A 14,778-nucleotide genomic window follows, 5' to 3' on the forward strand; every position below is an offset into this window, starting at 1 on the left:
CCGAGGCAGGTGGATCACTTGAGGTCAGGAGTTCGAGACCAGTCTGGCCAACATGGTGAAACCCCGTCTCTACTAACAATACAAAAATTAGCCAGGTGTGGTGGCGGAGGCCTGTAGTTCCAGCTACTCAGGAGGCTGAGGCAGGAGAATCGCTTGAATTCGGGAGGTGGTGGTTGCAGTGAGCTGAGATTGCGCCACTGCACTCCAGCCTGGGTGACAGAGCGAGACTCCACCTTAAAAAAAAAAAAAAATCAGCCGGGTTCAGTGGTTCACGCCTGTAATCCCAGCACTTTGGGAGACCGAAGCGGGCAGATCACCTGAGGTCAGAAGTTCGAGACCAGCCTGCCCCATGTGGCGAAACCCTGTCTCTACTAAAAATACAAAAAATTAGCTGGGTGTGGTAGCAGGCGCCTGTAATCCCAGCTACTTGGGAGGCTGAGGCAGGAGAATTGCTTGAACCTGGGAGGCAGAGTTGCAGTGAGCCGAGATTGCACCACTGTACTCCAGCCTGGGCGACAATAGTGAAACTCCATCTTAAAAAAAAAAAAAAAAAAAAAACTTAAATCATCCTCAGATGTGTCATACAAAATACACTAAGTAAGGCAGGCCTATGATAACTGGGTTAAAAAAAGATGTAAATATGTGGACAAGGACTAAGATGGAACACACTATCAGCACCCAAAAGAGACAGAAACAGCAAAATGGAGTGTCGATGAGGACATTTATCCAAGGAACAGAGTAACCTAAGAGTGTTTTTTCTGAGACAGGGCTAGCTTCAAACTCATGGGCTCAACCGATCTTCCTGCCTCAGCCTCCTAAGTAGCTGGGACTACAGGTACATGCCACTGTGTGGCTAATCTGAGTTCTTCTTCATGCAATTCTAAACAGCAAATCCTATTTAATCTTGGAGATTATGTAGGATCAAAGGGGTAGAAAGAACTACAGAAAAACATTCCAAATAAGAATTGTTTTTATTTACTTTATTTGGAGACAGGGTCTCACTCTGTCACCCAGGCTGGAGTGCAGTGGTGTGATCTCGGCTCACTGCAACCTCTGCCTTCTGGGTTCAAGCAATCCTCCAAGCTCAGTCTCCAAAGTAGCTAGAACCACAGATGCCTGCCATCACACCTGGCTAATTTTTGTATTTTTTGTAGAGGTGGGATTTCATCATGTTGCCCAGGCTTAGAGTCTCTTTTTTAAAAGGAGAACCATTTCCCTCCCATTCCTCAGTCCGCACCCCAAATTAGGTTGGTTGAGTCAATGCATCCATTGTCCCCAAGGAGAATCATCCGGAAAGTAAACACAGGTACTACAGAAGTTCAGGTATATACCAAGCATTCCCTCACCATTGATGAGATATGGGTGGTTGCAGCACTTGCGCAACTCCATCATTGTGTTAAGTAGATTAGGCATGTTGGTATGACCTGCCCCTTTGGAAAGGAAGGAGAAATTCTTCTCCAAAATAGCCCGATAGTATTTCTTCTGGATATTAGTCAGCTCTACTTCAATAATTGTTTCCTGTTTGGGTGCCAAGTTTTTTTCAACATCCTCTTTGAGTCTTCTCAGCATCATTGGCTTAAGAATGGCCTGTAGCTTTTGAACCTGTGGTCCATTACAGAGAGAAAAATAAATCAATAAGATGAGGGCGAACATTCTCACATTATGTAGAAACATGGAAAAATTAGAGTTTTCCACTATCTAAGAAATGTATACTTTGGATGATGCCACAAATGATGTAGGCACAAGGTTATAAGGAGTTCAGAAAGGCCCTTGAGATACCCATGACAACAGATGTCTGCCTTGTACAAACTTCACCTTCTTTGTCCTGAGTTAGTACCTCATCAGATAGATTTCCTACCTGTTCCTCTGTCTTGAGATCCCCAAAGTCCTTGAGAAACTCTGATTCTGAGGGAAATTGTGACGGTTCCAAGAAATGAAGCAAGCTAAACAGTTCTTCTACAGTATTTTGCAATGGTGTTCCTGTGAGTAGCACCTTGTGTTCCTAGAAATGGAGGAAACAAAAGAATAAAATTTAAAAACATGAAGGACTTCTGGGGTTTCCTATCAAGTATATAATCTTTAACATATATAACCTTTAATTTCTTTATCTATAAAATGATGAGAATGGACCAGTGATCTGGTCCATTAATTTTTCTTCCATTTGTCCCCTCTTTCGATAAACACAAAGCATTCAAGAAATCCCTCTGACATTAATGTATTGAAATAACATAAATATTATAAGCAAATTAAAAAACAGTAATTCTGATTATGTTTATTCCAATTACACATGTCTCTCCATATTCAACTCCCCACAGATATCCTAAAATCTGCTGTCCTCTATGGAATGTAACTGAGCTGGATTAAATATGGTCATTAATTTGCTGCTGTTCCTCCTAACAAGGTTCACCCCTAGGCTTGCCTTATTACTTGCAAGAACAAGAATGTAGCAAAAGTGACACTGTGTGAGTTTCAGAGCCTATCTCAAAGGTTACTGTTTCTACTTTTGCCCTCTTGGAATACTGCCCTGAGACTACCACACAAAGCAGCCCAATCTGGCCTATGGAGGATGAGAGGCCATGTGGAACCCAGGTGCTCCAGATAAAAACCAGCATCAACTGCCAGCTGCAGCAATACTGACTCCAGGCAAGATCATCATAAGAACCAACTAGCTGAACTCAGCCTAAGTGGTTGAGCTAGAAGATCATGAAAAATATAGTTGTTGTAGGACATTAAGTTTTGGAGTATTTTGTTATGCAGTAATAATAGGTAACCAATATAGTTTCCCACCTCCTCTTCTGGTTATCACTAAACTTCCCAATTCTAAAATGTATGACTTTTACACGACTTTCAGGTTACCATTCCCATAGGTCATCCCCACTGTTCAATACCACGATTCAGACTTTTCTTCTCTGCTAAACTAGGGTTATTTTAATACCGCAAGGAATTACGGTTTATTCCAGGTGTTTCTGCTCACAAGTCAGTGTGGAACTCACCAGGTCCATGTGCTTGAGACTATCAAGCAGCTTGCAATTACGGTTTTTCAGTCGATGGGCTTCATCAATGATAACACAACGCCATTCAATTTCACGAAGCTCAGGACAATCTGACAAAATCATCTCAAAAGTGGTGATCAGAGCGTCAAACTTGTATGCGCCTGGGATGAGGCGTCCCTAAGCATGAAGGCAGTAAAGTCAGAAAAAACCAAAAATGTACCTAAATGAGGAGCTTTTCTGAATTACTTGCCTATATTAAGGCATGTTTAATAGGCAATACAAACTGCACCACCACCCACCTCCACCGCTGTTTATCTTCCTGAAAAATAGTGCCATATCACTGAATGTAAGATACATTGCTTCCTCAACATATTCAGCTTCTTGGGAAAATGACAGACTCACTGAATGAGAGGCTAGACATTTTTTACTCTGCTGTATGCCTAGCTCATGTATCTCTGCCCCAGATCTTTTGTTGATTAACAATGAAATCCACAACTGCTGGACAATGCTGAACCATACAAGATAATAAAAATGAAAATAGCTAATACAGAACATAATATTGGCTGATGTCTAAAAATTGACAAAAGAATGAAATCATTTTAACAAAATTAAAAGCTGCAAAATATGATGAAAAGATGTGATTTGGTAGAAATAAAAAAAAGAAAACTAATAGAGAAACAATAAAATTCATGTTAATACACGATGGATAATTCCAATTTTGTTTTCAAATTTACATGGAAAAAGGAACTGATCCTTTTTTTTTCTTTTTTTGAGACACAGTCTCACTCTGTCACCCAGGATGGAGTGCAGTGTGACGATCTCGGCTCACTGCAGCCTTCGCCTCCTGGTTTCAAGCGATTCTCCTGCCTCAGCCTCCTGAATAGCTGGGATTACAGGTGCCCACCACCACACCTGGCTAATTTTTATATCTTTAGTAGAGATGGGGTTTCACCATGTTGGCCAGGCTGGTCTAGAACTCCCGGCCTCAGGTAATAAGCCCACCTCGGCCTCCCAAAGTGCTAGGATTACAGGCATGAGCCACCACGCCCGACCATTTAGAAAAAGAAACTGATCTTGATGAAAATTTCCGTAGACTAAAAAGAGGAAAAGAAATAAGCTCACCACCGCATGGATTAAGTGGCTAAAGGAATTTAATTTTTGTAAAATACTGTGATTAAAATTCATTGATGCTGACAAAATTCTACTTAAAATGTGTATGTTCATAAATAAAATCAGAACTTCTACCAGATCAAATGTCTACTAGGTAAAAAAAATAGCAAAGTCAAAAAAATGCCCTGCACACTGCTATACAAAAATGCCTTAAACCATAGGCATTTTTGCATAGGCATATTGAAGACTTTCAATAAAAGTCTTCTATTCATATATAGCCCTTAAAATACCAGGTACCTTGGCCGACTTTCTCTAACTCATAGTATTCCCAAGACATGCAACTCACCCGTGAATCTTTGCAGTACATTTCATACTGTTGAATCATCTGCCTGCTGGCCAGACTGCCATGGTACACAATAGTGTTCATTTCTGTCCATGTATTAAATTCTCGCTCCCAGTTAGTAATTGTGGACAGTGGGGCAATGACCAAGAAGGGACCATGGATGCCCACATTATATACTTCCTGCAAGAAGGCAATGGACTGAATAGTTTTGCCCAATCCCATCTCATCAGCCAGGATGCAGTTCTGCCTGCAGATTCACCATGGGAAAAAAAAAATGTTAAAAGATACTATCTTTAAAAAAAATAGAGTATGTAGGAAGAAATTGTTTCAATAGAAAACAAATAAAAATAATCCCAGAACTAAGCTTACATCTTATGGCCCATTCTTTCCTTTACCTGTTATACCAATTAAAGAGCAGCCAATTAACCCCTTCCAACTGATATTCCCGTAGCTGGTTTCTGTTTTTATATTCATGTGATAGCTCCAATTTCTTCCAGGCACTTGCCTGCGGACGATTCTAAAAAACAAGACGTTTGAATAAATGGAGTGGAGACATTATCAAAAGGTAAGACTTACTAGGTAAGTTCTAATAGTTAAAATCAATTCAAAACAACATTGTTTGGATTAAAACATGTCAAATATATTTAAATTTATGAGTTCATAACGTTACTTTATGGGTCCATAATGATCACAAATGGCTGACAACATCACAAAACACAACCTGATGGAAGGACACACCACCATCTATGAAGCAGTTACTGGCTTCCCTCTCTCATCTGATCAAGCCTGTAGAACAGTGATGTCTAATAGAGCTTTCTACAACATTAAAAATAAAAAAACAAACAAAAAAACACGGCTAGTGGCTACTGTATTAGACAGCACAGCTCTAAAATGTTTTATTGGACAGTGTAGCTCTAAACCTAAGCATTCATGTGAAACATAAGGGACAGAGAACATGTAAAAAAGTACCAAGGGTAATCAGCAAACTTCAGCCTATGGAAAATCCTACAAAACAAATCACCTGATTTCTTCATGAGAAAATTATAACGGAGGGAGAGGAGGAGATTAAGGGGGAGCTTAAAAGAAACTTGAGACATATTAACTGATAGCAATATATGGACCTTACTGAGAACCAAATTTAAATGATTTAACAAAAATTAGAAGACAATCAGGGAAATGTATGCAATGATTGGTACCAATGACTTGATGATATTAAAGAATGATTAAATTTTTTAGGTGTAATAATGGTATTATTTCTTTTAGGCAAAAACACTGTAATATTTACAGATGAAATAAATGAATCTGGGATTTGATTTAAAATAACCTGGGAAACAGGAATTAATGGGTAGGAAAATATATGACACAAGACTGGATATGTACTGATAATTGTTACGTGGGTGATGGGTACATTATACCATTTCTTCGATTTTTATATGTTTGAAATTTCCATAATAAAAAGCTAAAACAACAAAAAATTTCATAGGGGAAAAAATTTAATCATTTCTTATGTAGGCCTTTATACTTTAATGCAAATGTACTTACCACCCTTTTGAGTTCTGGGTGCCTTGACTGAATCCGTTTAAATTCTCGAATCTTGCCCTCATCAACATCTTCTTTTAGCTCCCATGTGCTATCCTCATAGGGCAGAGAGCACCATTTCACCAGGTAGTAAATAACGGGCTAGGAGAGAAGAAACCAAAGCCTTAAGAAACTGATTCTGTGTTCTCTGCTCCAGTTAAAGAATAAAAATTTGATTGTAAAATCAGATCACAAAGTATCAGTACCTAGAAGCCGTTGAAAAAGTCAGGCCAAACACATCGACCAAAAGTTCACCTTCTGATGCACTATATGGCTTTGATCATTCTTCAAAGCAATTTATCAGAATCTGTTCTAAAAGGAAAATTTCTACCCACTAGTTTCTATCACACTAAGCACTAAAACATGCTCGTCAACTAAACAGATGAAAAAAAAAAGACTAATCTTTTCCTATACCATGTTGAAATTAAAAGATATGTTTCTGTGCCATACTATTCTCCTGGAGCCAAATTTGACACAGTGGCAGCTAGGCTACCTTTAGGATGAGGACTATCAGCTTATACTGGCTTCTGGGCCCCTAGAGCTCATTGCAGATGCACCTCAAGAGCACTTACATGGTGATAAAGAAATGTCCTTGTGAGCCCCAGGAAGCTAGGAGCTAACAAGAGGTTATCACCAAAAAGAGGTACTAAGAGTAAAGAAGGAAGAGAAAATGCTAAAAAGTTCAACTACAGTAAGTACTAGTTTATGTAGGTATTCCACTGAAAGTGAAGGGGCAGTGACCAATGGTAAATGGCTCCTATTTTCACTATTCAAGATGATCACTGCACTTACTGCATCTCCATTTTTGGCTTATGAAGTATAAAGCAAGGATTAGATTGGGCCTAGTGTAATCAACAAGAATCTCTAATTATCAATTCATAGAAAACTTAAAATAGCCAACAAAATATGTGAAAGTGCCTCAAGGTAGTCACAGATCTCGAATCTCTGGAATTGATCCAGCTGCTTGCTCTTTTACCTTTTTCTTTATCATAGTAACTCAGGTCACTCTCTATATAAAGCCATTTGTCCAGGTCACATATTTCCAGCATAATATCTATTTATTTCCACCATTAGGTAATATAAAATGGATGACAAACTTATTTTGCAGAGGTGGGGAAAATGGGTATATAGAATAGTATTAGCCAATACTGGGAGCATAAATTATAGTATTAGAGTATGAAAACATTATCATCTGTCACGTCATTTGCAAGACATTCCAAAGGGGCCTAACTAAAGGCCAATTGCTTTTAGAAGGGTAGGTATGATTAAAAGCATAAGACTGTCAAGGCTGGAAAGGCTGAGATCCTGAAAAATGATAAGAATTTAAGAGTAGCTAACAACCTGCCCTAAAACCCGGCCCATTCTCCATTCAACTCACACAAACAAACACACAATACTACCACCCCAACTTCAAAAGCAGAATACGTTATGTGAAGCATGCTTGTTAGGATTTAAAGACAATGAATTCTACCGTGTCCTGGATATCTAAGATTCTGAGGCTCTGAGTGAACCTGAAGACTTATAAAGTAGAATAAACTTCGGAATTTTATAGAGGAAAGAATTTAACTCAGAGGTCCTGTTAGAATGATGTATGGGAGGATCAAGTCACTTGAAAAAGTCATGAAAAAGCCCAGCTCACCCACTGAACATTAACATCTTAAAAAGGCTCTGCTGTTCTCTACTGGTCACTGTATAAAGTGTCAGATGTGATAGAAATTTTCTTTATGATCCTGCTAAGCTAAACCAAAAAGTGCTACTGGAAGGAAAAATATAAAGTGACAAATTCTAAGAAAATGATGGTTTATAGCCTAAAAAAAAATTAGAAGTAAATTTAAAAGAAAGCTGAATTCACTGGTGGCTAAGACCTAGATGACCATTTGAAAATGAAAAAGGTGCCAGGCGTAGGCGGCTCACGCCCGTAATCCCAGCACTTTGGGAGGCCGAGGCAGGGAGATCACTTGAGGTCAGGAGTTCGAGACTAAGCCTGGCTAACATGGTGAAACCCTGTCTGTACTAGAAATTTAAAAACTAGCCGGGCATGATGGCACACGCTTGCAGTCCCAGCTATTCAGGAGGCTGAGGCATGAGAATTACTTGAATCTGGGAGGCGGAGGTTGCAATGAGCCAAGATCACACCATTGCACCCCAACCTGGGTGACAGAGTGAAGATGGTCTCAAAAAAAAACCAAAAAAAAAGAAAAAGAAAAAAGAGAAAAATAAACTAATTAAAATACAGATTCAAATGTAGATCTGCTTTTTTGTTTGTTTGTTTTTTTTAGACGGAGTCTCACTCTGTTGCCCAGGAATGGAGTGCAATGGCATGATCTTGGCTCTCCACAACTTTTGCCTCCCGGGTTCAAGCGATTCTCCTGCCTCAGCCTCCCGAGTAGCTGGGACTATAGGCACGTGCCACCACACCTGGCTAATTTTTGTATTTTTAGTAGAGACGGGGTTTCACTATGTTGGCCAAGCTGGTCTCAAACTCCCAACCTCGTGATCTGCCCACCTCAGCCTCCCAAAGTGCTGGGATTACAGGTGTGGGCCACCGCGCCTGGCCAGCAGATCTGTTTTAATGACAAATGAAGAGACATTTAACTAATGGTGAGTTCAGGAAGTAGCCCATTCTCAAGAACATGATTTGTAGAAAGCTAGGAGCGAGCCTGTAGAAGTATTTTTATATTCACAAATTTAGGAATTTGTGAAGTATCCCTTTCCCCTTCCCAACACCCCACCTCCAACTGTATGTCAAGAGTCTCCCATTTAAAATATGAGGAAAAATGAGACCAAGATGAATGACTTTTCAGTACTTAGCCTCTACATGTCTGACTTTACAGAAATCTTTCCTTTTAGCATCTCTCCCTACACTCTTACCTCCCATTATCTTTCAAAGGATTCCACAGAAAAATTTAGAAATACCTTTTCAGTCCAAGGGATTCTGCATCCATACCCGAAAAATAAAGGATTGGCAAACCCACCAGCAGAAATCTAAGAGGATGTTCACGTTACTCCATGCCTCAACAACTCACCTCCCCATTGTCCTTGTCAATACTGTGAGACTCATCCAATATCCTATCCACCTCTACGTAGTCTGGATTAAAGGGCTCTTCATCCTAGATGAGTTAGGAAACCAAACAATAAGACCAAAAGATCACTGTCCAGTAAACCCACTCCTCTACCTCACCTTTAGCAGAGAATCCTACTTCAAAATTTTTAAAGAAATTAGAAGCTATCCGATGGGTGTTCTCCTTTTTCATAACAGCAAATCCTATGAATTTACCAGGGTCTATACCTGACTTCTCACCTGCTACCAGTGAGTGTCTCTTTCTAACAGAGGTCCTTCTCTCCATATATGCTCTGCTGTTCATTGCTTCTTGTATTCTTAGGAATCCCTCTACCGAGTCATTGCCATAAATACACGTATATGTTCCACATTTCACATTTTAAAATAAGACCTCTTTTTATTCTACAACTCCCGCAACTATTTTTCTACTCTGCTTTATACCTAAACCTTTTTTTTTTTTTTTTTGAGGTAGAGCCTTGCTCTGTCATCCAGGCTGGAGTGCAGTAGAGCGATCTTGGCTCACTGCAACCTCCACCTCCTACGTTCAAGTGATTCTCCTGCTTCAGCCTCCCGAGTAGCTGGGATTACAGGTGCCCGCCACTATGACCGGCTAATTTTTGTATTTTTAGTAGAGACGGGGTTTCACCGTGTTGGCCATGCTAGTCTCAAACTCCTAACTTCAAGTGATCTGCCTGCCTTGGCCTCCTGAAGCGCTGGGATTACAAGCATGAGCCACTGCGCCCGGCCCCATACCTAAACTTTTTCAAGGGTTTAAACACATGCTATTTCCATTCCTTCATCTCTTTCACTTGTCCATCCATTCCACTTTTTCTTCTACTTGCAACATACAACCAAAACTACTCTTATCAAGGATGAACGCCGCAAATATAACAGGCATATTTCTTCACTCATCTTGCTCCAGTGTTTAGGGGTAAACCTGGATATTGGAAATTAAAGCTCCTTTATCCCTATTTCTAATCACACTGGATTAGAAATTTGAGAAAACAAATGTTCTCTCTTAATAATAGGTCTACAGAAACCATCAATAGCTAAAGAAAGACAAAGAATGCCTCAAGTGGACCAGCAGTCAGTGTATCATCAGTTTTGAAAATACTTCATGTGCATTGAGGAAATCAGTTTCAAAATATCCTATAACTAATAAATGAACCATATTTAAACCTAACAAAACAATGCAAGGGCAGTTAAGTAAGGGAAGTCAATGACCAAAATTGAAAGTTTACACCCATATATAGAAACCAATTACAAGTATTTTGAAGAATCAGCCAAGGCTGACAACCCCAGTAATTTGTGCTTCTGTGAAAGAAATGACAGGCAATACCTATTCCTAATTACCTCATGGAAGAAGTGTCTCATCTGAGCCATTTTGGTTTTGAAGCGCTTTAATTTTTGATGTATCCTCTTATCCTTCTCTAGTTGGGAGATAGTAGCCCATTCACAATGCAGATAGGAGCTAAGGGGGATGGAAAAATCCAGTCATGGTGCAAGTAAAAGAAGGTGGCAGGCTACTGTCTGAAATTTTGGGATTAGTCAGAAGCAGACATAACAAATACAGGCTTAAATTGGGAGACAGTCTCTTAGGTCAGTGCTTCTGAAACTCTAATTTGTATACAAACCACCTGGTATGGGATGTGCTTGAAAGCCCACATTTTTAAAAAGCACCCAAGTAATGCTAATTCTGCTGATCCATGGGCCATATTTTGAGTAGCAAGATCTTAGTGCTAAACTAAGGTAAAGAGAATCACATGACATTTTATCAGGAACCACCCTCACCCCACTTACCTACAAGGAAATAATAAGAGTCATGTCAATTCCTGAATTTCTCTCTGAATAGCCATTTTTCCCCATTAAAAACAGCAACCTGGGCTACAAGACTATAAAAAAGGGACACATTCCCACCCAGGATACCCAGGAGAACTTTTTACCACCCTGTGGAATTTGGGGTGACAAGCTTTTTGCACAGATCACGTACTAGTTCTTGTACTTGACAAAGAATTCTTCTGCTTCAGTATATTGTCCAGAAGGGAGCTAAGAAAAAAGAAATAAATTAGTCACTAGTCCCTTATTTGTAAAAGAATGAACTTTTTAATTTTAACCACACATTGCAGAACTTCATACCAATAATCTCTGAATATATTAATAACTCAGAGATTAAGGAACTAGTCTGGTACTTCAATAATAGAGGCCTGATAGCTGGAAAAAGTAAGCCTTTATCCACTCTAAACAGGTAAGTAAAAGAAGCACCAGTAAAGCAGTTCCTGTTTTCTAGCTAACTTTCCTCCATCATCTCTCACAACTACACCTTAGCAATATATCTGACATCCAAAGGTGCTCATTAAATAAAGCCTGTGAACATAGCATTACGGGTTAATATTAAGATAGAGAAAAGCCAGGCGCAGTGGTGCACAATGGTAGTCCCAGATACTCAGGAGGCTGAGGCAGAAGAATAGCTCAAGCCCAGAAGTTCATAGTGTGCTACGATCATATCTATGAATAGCCACTGCACTTTAGCCTGGGTAACACAGTTAGACTCTATTTCAAAAATAAATAAATAAATAAATAAATAAATAAATAAATAAAAATAATAATAATAATAAAAAGCCCTCACCTCCTTCTTCACAATCCGCATAGAAAGCACTTTGTCTACAATGGCTGCATCTTCTTCACTGGGATTCTCCTGCAGCAAAAGATGCAGTCAGTCAACAGATGATTGTGACCAGCAAGGCAATCCTCTGAAATCATTTGAGTTTACAGCTTACCACAAAGAACTGCATGGAAGGCAAAGTCTCGCCATCTGGTTCTTGCACTGGTTCAGGGAGGATAGGCTCAGGTTTTATTGGACCAGTTACATCCACCTCTTCTTCTTCTTCATCATCTGTGATCTTTATATCCAGGTCCTCTGTATATTTTTTTCGCTTAACTTGGCGGTTTGAGCGTCTCTTCTGTAGAGCAAAAAGTAGTTAGAGTGACTAGTTAGGTCTCTCACAGAGAAGACTTTTAAAATTATTTGCTCATGGTCATATACTTAGATTCTACTCCAAAATTTTCATGAAAAATCAGACCAAAAGATGATAAGGAGATTATCTGTCAAACAATGTGATTATGCTATGTACTGACCATATATCAATTTGCTTAACTGCTTTATGAAAGGCCAAGAATCCACTGAGAAAAACCTGTCCACTAGTGGCAAGAAGCTCTGGGAAATCAAAACTGGATTCTCAGGCTGCAGGGTGCAATATAATTCACACTAGAAGCAACCCGTTAGTGCAAAAATGCAAGAAGATTTTGTTTCCATTTTTTGCTTTTTTGTCTTAGTTCTGAAGTTTTTTTTGTTTTAATAAACAGAATCTACTGTATGTACTATTCTGCCACTTACTTTTTTATTTAATGATATTTCCTGGAAATGTTTTCCATATATATTTTTTATTTACCTTATTCTTTCAAGTGGCTGAATTAAACATTTTCTAATTAAGTAATTTAAGCAACACTTCCAGCTCATGATAAAAAACTGGGAAGGAGGCTTGGTACAGTGGCTTATGCCTGTAATACCAGCACTGTGGGAGGCCGAGGCAGGCGGATCACCTGAGGTCGGGAGTTTGAGACCAGCCTGGCCAACATGGTGAAACCCCGTCTCTGCTAAAAATACAAAAATTAGCCAGGCCTTATTTTTCAATTATGATTATCTCTCTGGAAAACCTCAAAGGATCAAATGAAAGAACTACTGAAACTAGTAAACTTGAATGGTATAAAACTAATTTTTAAAAAATCAATAGCATTTCTACATATAATCAGCCAGAAAATATAATAAAAGATCCCATTTATGAAAACACAAAGATTAATTATCTACAAAACTAAATTGGCTGGGAGTGGTGGCTCACACCTGTAATCCTAGCACTTTGGGAGACCGAGGCAGGTGGATCACCTGAGGTCAAGAGTTTGAGACCAGCCTGGTCAACATGGTGAAGCTCTGCTAAAAATACAAAAATTAGCCGGGCCTGGTGGCGGATGCCTTTAGTCCCAGCTACTCAGGAGGCTGAGGCAGGAGAATGGCTTGAACCCGGGGGGTGGAGGTTGCAGTGAGCAAACTTCATTAGTATAAAATTAATTTTATACCAATACAAATATAATTTTATATTTAAAAATGTTATATTTTTGTTTCACCCAACAGACTGGCAAAAATCAGCAAGTTTGATCAAAATATTTTTAAGTAAGAATTCATACATTTTTGGTGAGAGTACATATAGGCACGACTTCCATGAAGAAAAATTTGGCAACACCCTTTGAACCTATCAATTCCACTTCAAAGATACTATCCTATAAATTTGCATATGTGCACAAATCTCTGGAGCATTACTTGTGGGAGTAGGAGACCAGAAAAAACCTAAAGGCCCATCAACAGGGGATTGGTTCAATAAATTATGCTATAGCCTTAAAACTGAATACTACAGAACTACTAAAAAAGAGTGCAGGCTGGGTGCAGTGGCTCACACCTGTAATCGTAGCACTTTGGGAGACTGAGGTGGCAGGATCACTCAAGCCCAGGTGTTCAAGACCAGCCTGGGCAACACAGTGAGACCCTGTCTCTATTTTATACAAAATATAAAAATAGCCGGGCACGGTGGCTCACGCCTGTAATCCCAGCACTTTGGGAGGCCGAGGCAGGCGCATCATGAGGTCAGGAGATTGAGACCATCCTGGCTAACACGGTGAAACCCTGTCTCTACTAAAAATACAAAAAATTAGCCAGGTGTGGTGGCGGGCGCCTGTAGTCCCCGCTACTCGGGAGGCTGAGGCAGGAGAATGGCGTGAACCTGGGAGGTGGAGCTTGCAGTGAGCCGAGATCGCGCCACTGCACTCCAGCCTGGGAGACACAGTGAGACTCTCTCAAAAAAAAAAAAAAATATATATATATATATAATATATATATATATACACACACACACACATATACACATTAAAAAGAATGGGGTAGATTTATAATACCAAATGTTGAAGATGTGTATCAACCAGAACTCTACTGGTGAAGTATAAAATAACATAATCACTTTAGAAAACTTAACAGATTCCTACAAAGTCACGTTTGTATATTCATAAAGTCAAATATTACTGAAGAAAAAAATAAACTACTCATTTATTTAGCATAGATGAACTATCAAAAACATTATGCCTTTCTCATTGATGTGTGGGCAGAAGAAAAAGAACAACAAAAAATTATGCTGAAAGAAGTGAGACCCAAAAGTACATACTGTATGATACTACTTAAAGTTCAAAGCCGGGCACGGTGGATCACGCCTGTAATCCCAGCACTTTGGAAGGCCAAGGCGGGCAGATCATTTGAGGTCAGGAGTTCAAGACCAGCCTGTCCAACATGGTGAAACACTGTCTCTACTAAAAATACAAAAAAATGAGATGGGCATGGTGGCGTGCACCTGTAATCCTAGCTACTAGGGAGGCTGAGGCATGAGGATCACTTGAATGCAGGAGGCGGAGGTTGCAGTGAGCCAAGATCACGCCACTGCACTCTAGCCTGGGTGAGAGTGAGACCCTGTCTCAAAAAATAAATAAAATAGCCAGGCGCGGTGGCCCACGCCTGTAATCCCAGCACTTTGGGAGGCCAAGGTGGGCATATCATGAGGTCAGGAGATCGAGACCATCCTGGCTAACACGGTGAAACC

At 39.7% G+C, this 14,778-nt stretch overlaps 1 protein-coding gene across 2 annotated transcripts in view; it reads right to left on the reverse strand.

The window, feature by feature from the left end:
- CHD8 (chromodomain helicase DNA binding protein 8) overlaps window positions 1-14,778 on the reverse strand; it is a 70,925-nt gene that overhangs the window by 18,664 nt on the left and 37,483 nt on the right. For both annotated transcript variants that reach the window (NM_001170629.2, NM_020920.4), the window contains exons 6-16: window positions 11,863-12,045; window positions 11,712-11,780; window positions 11,076-11,131; window positions 10,439-10,556; window positions 9,051-9,134; window positions 5,989-6,126; window positions 4,842-4,963; window positions 4,450-4,693; window positions 2,994-3,170; window positions 1,859-2,002; window positions 1,347-1,602 (exon numbers count right to left, since the gene is read on the reverse strand). In NM_001170629.2, the coding sequence (NP_001164100.1) occupies window positions 1,347-1,602; window positions 1,859-2,002; window positions 2,994-3,170; window positions 4,450-4,693; window positions 4,842-4,963; window positions 5,989-6,126; window positions 9,051-9,134; window positions 10,439-10,556; window positions 11,076-11,131; window positions 11,712-11,780; window positions 11,863-12,045 (1,591 nt within the window). The remainder of the gene's footprint in view (window positions 1-1,346; window positions 1,603-1,858; window positions 2,003-2,993; window positions 3,171-4,449; window positions 4,694-4,841; window positions 4,964-5,988; window positions 6,127-9,050; window positions 9,135-10,438; window positions 10,557-11,075; window positions 11,132-11,711; window positions 11,781-11,862; window positions 12,046-14,778) is intronic.

Source organism: Homo sapiens, chromosome 14 (assembly GCF_000001405.40).
Source record: "Homo sapiens chromosome 14, GRCh38.p14 Primary Assembly".
NCBI classification, from domain to species: domain Eukaryota; kingdom Metazoa; phylum Chordata; class Mammalia; order Primates; family Hominidae; genus Homo; species Homo sapiens.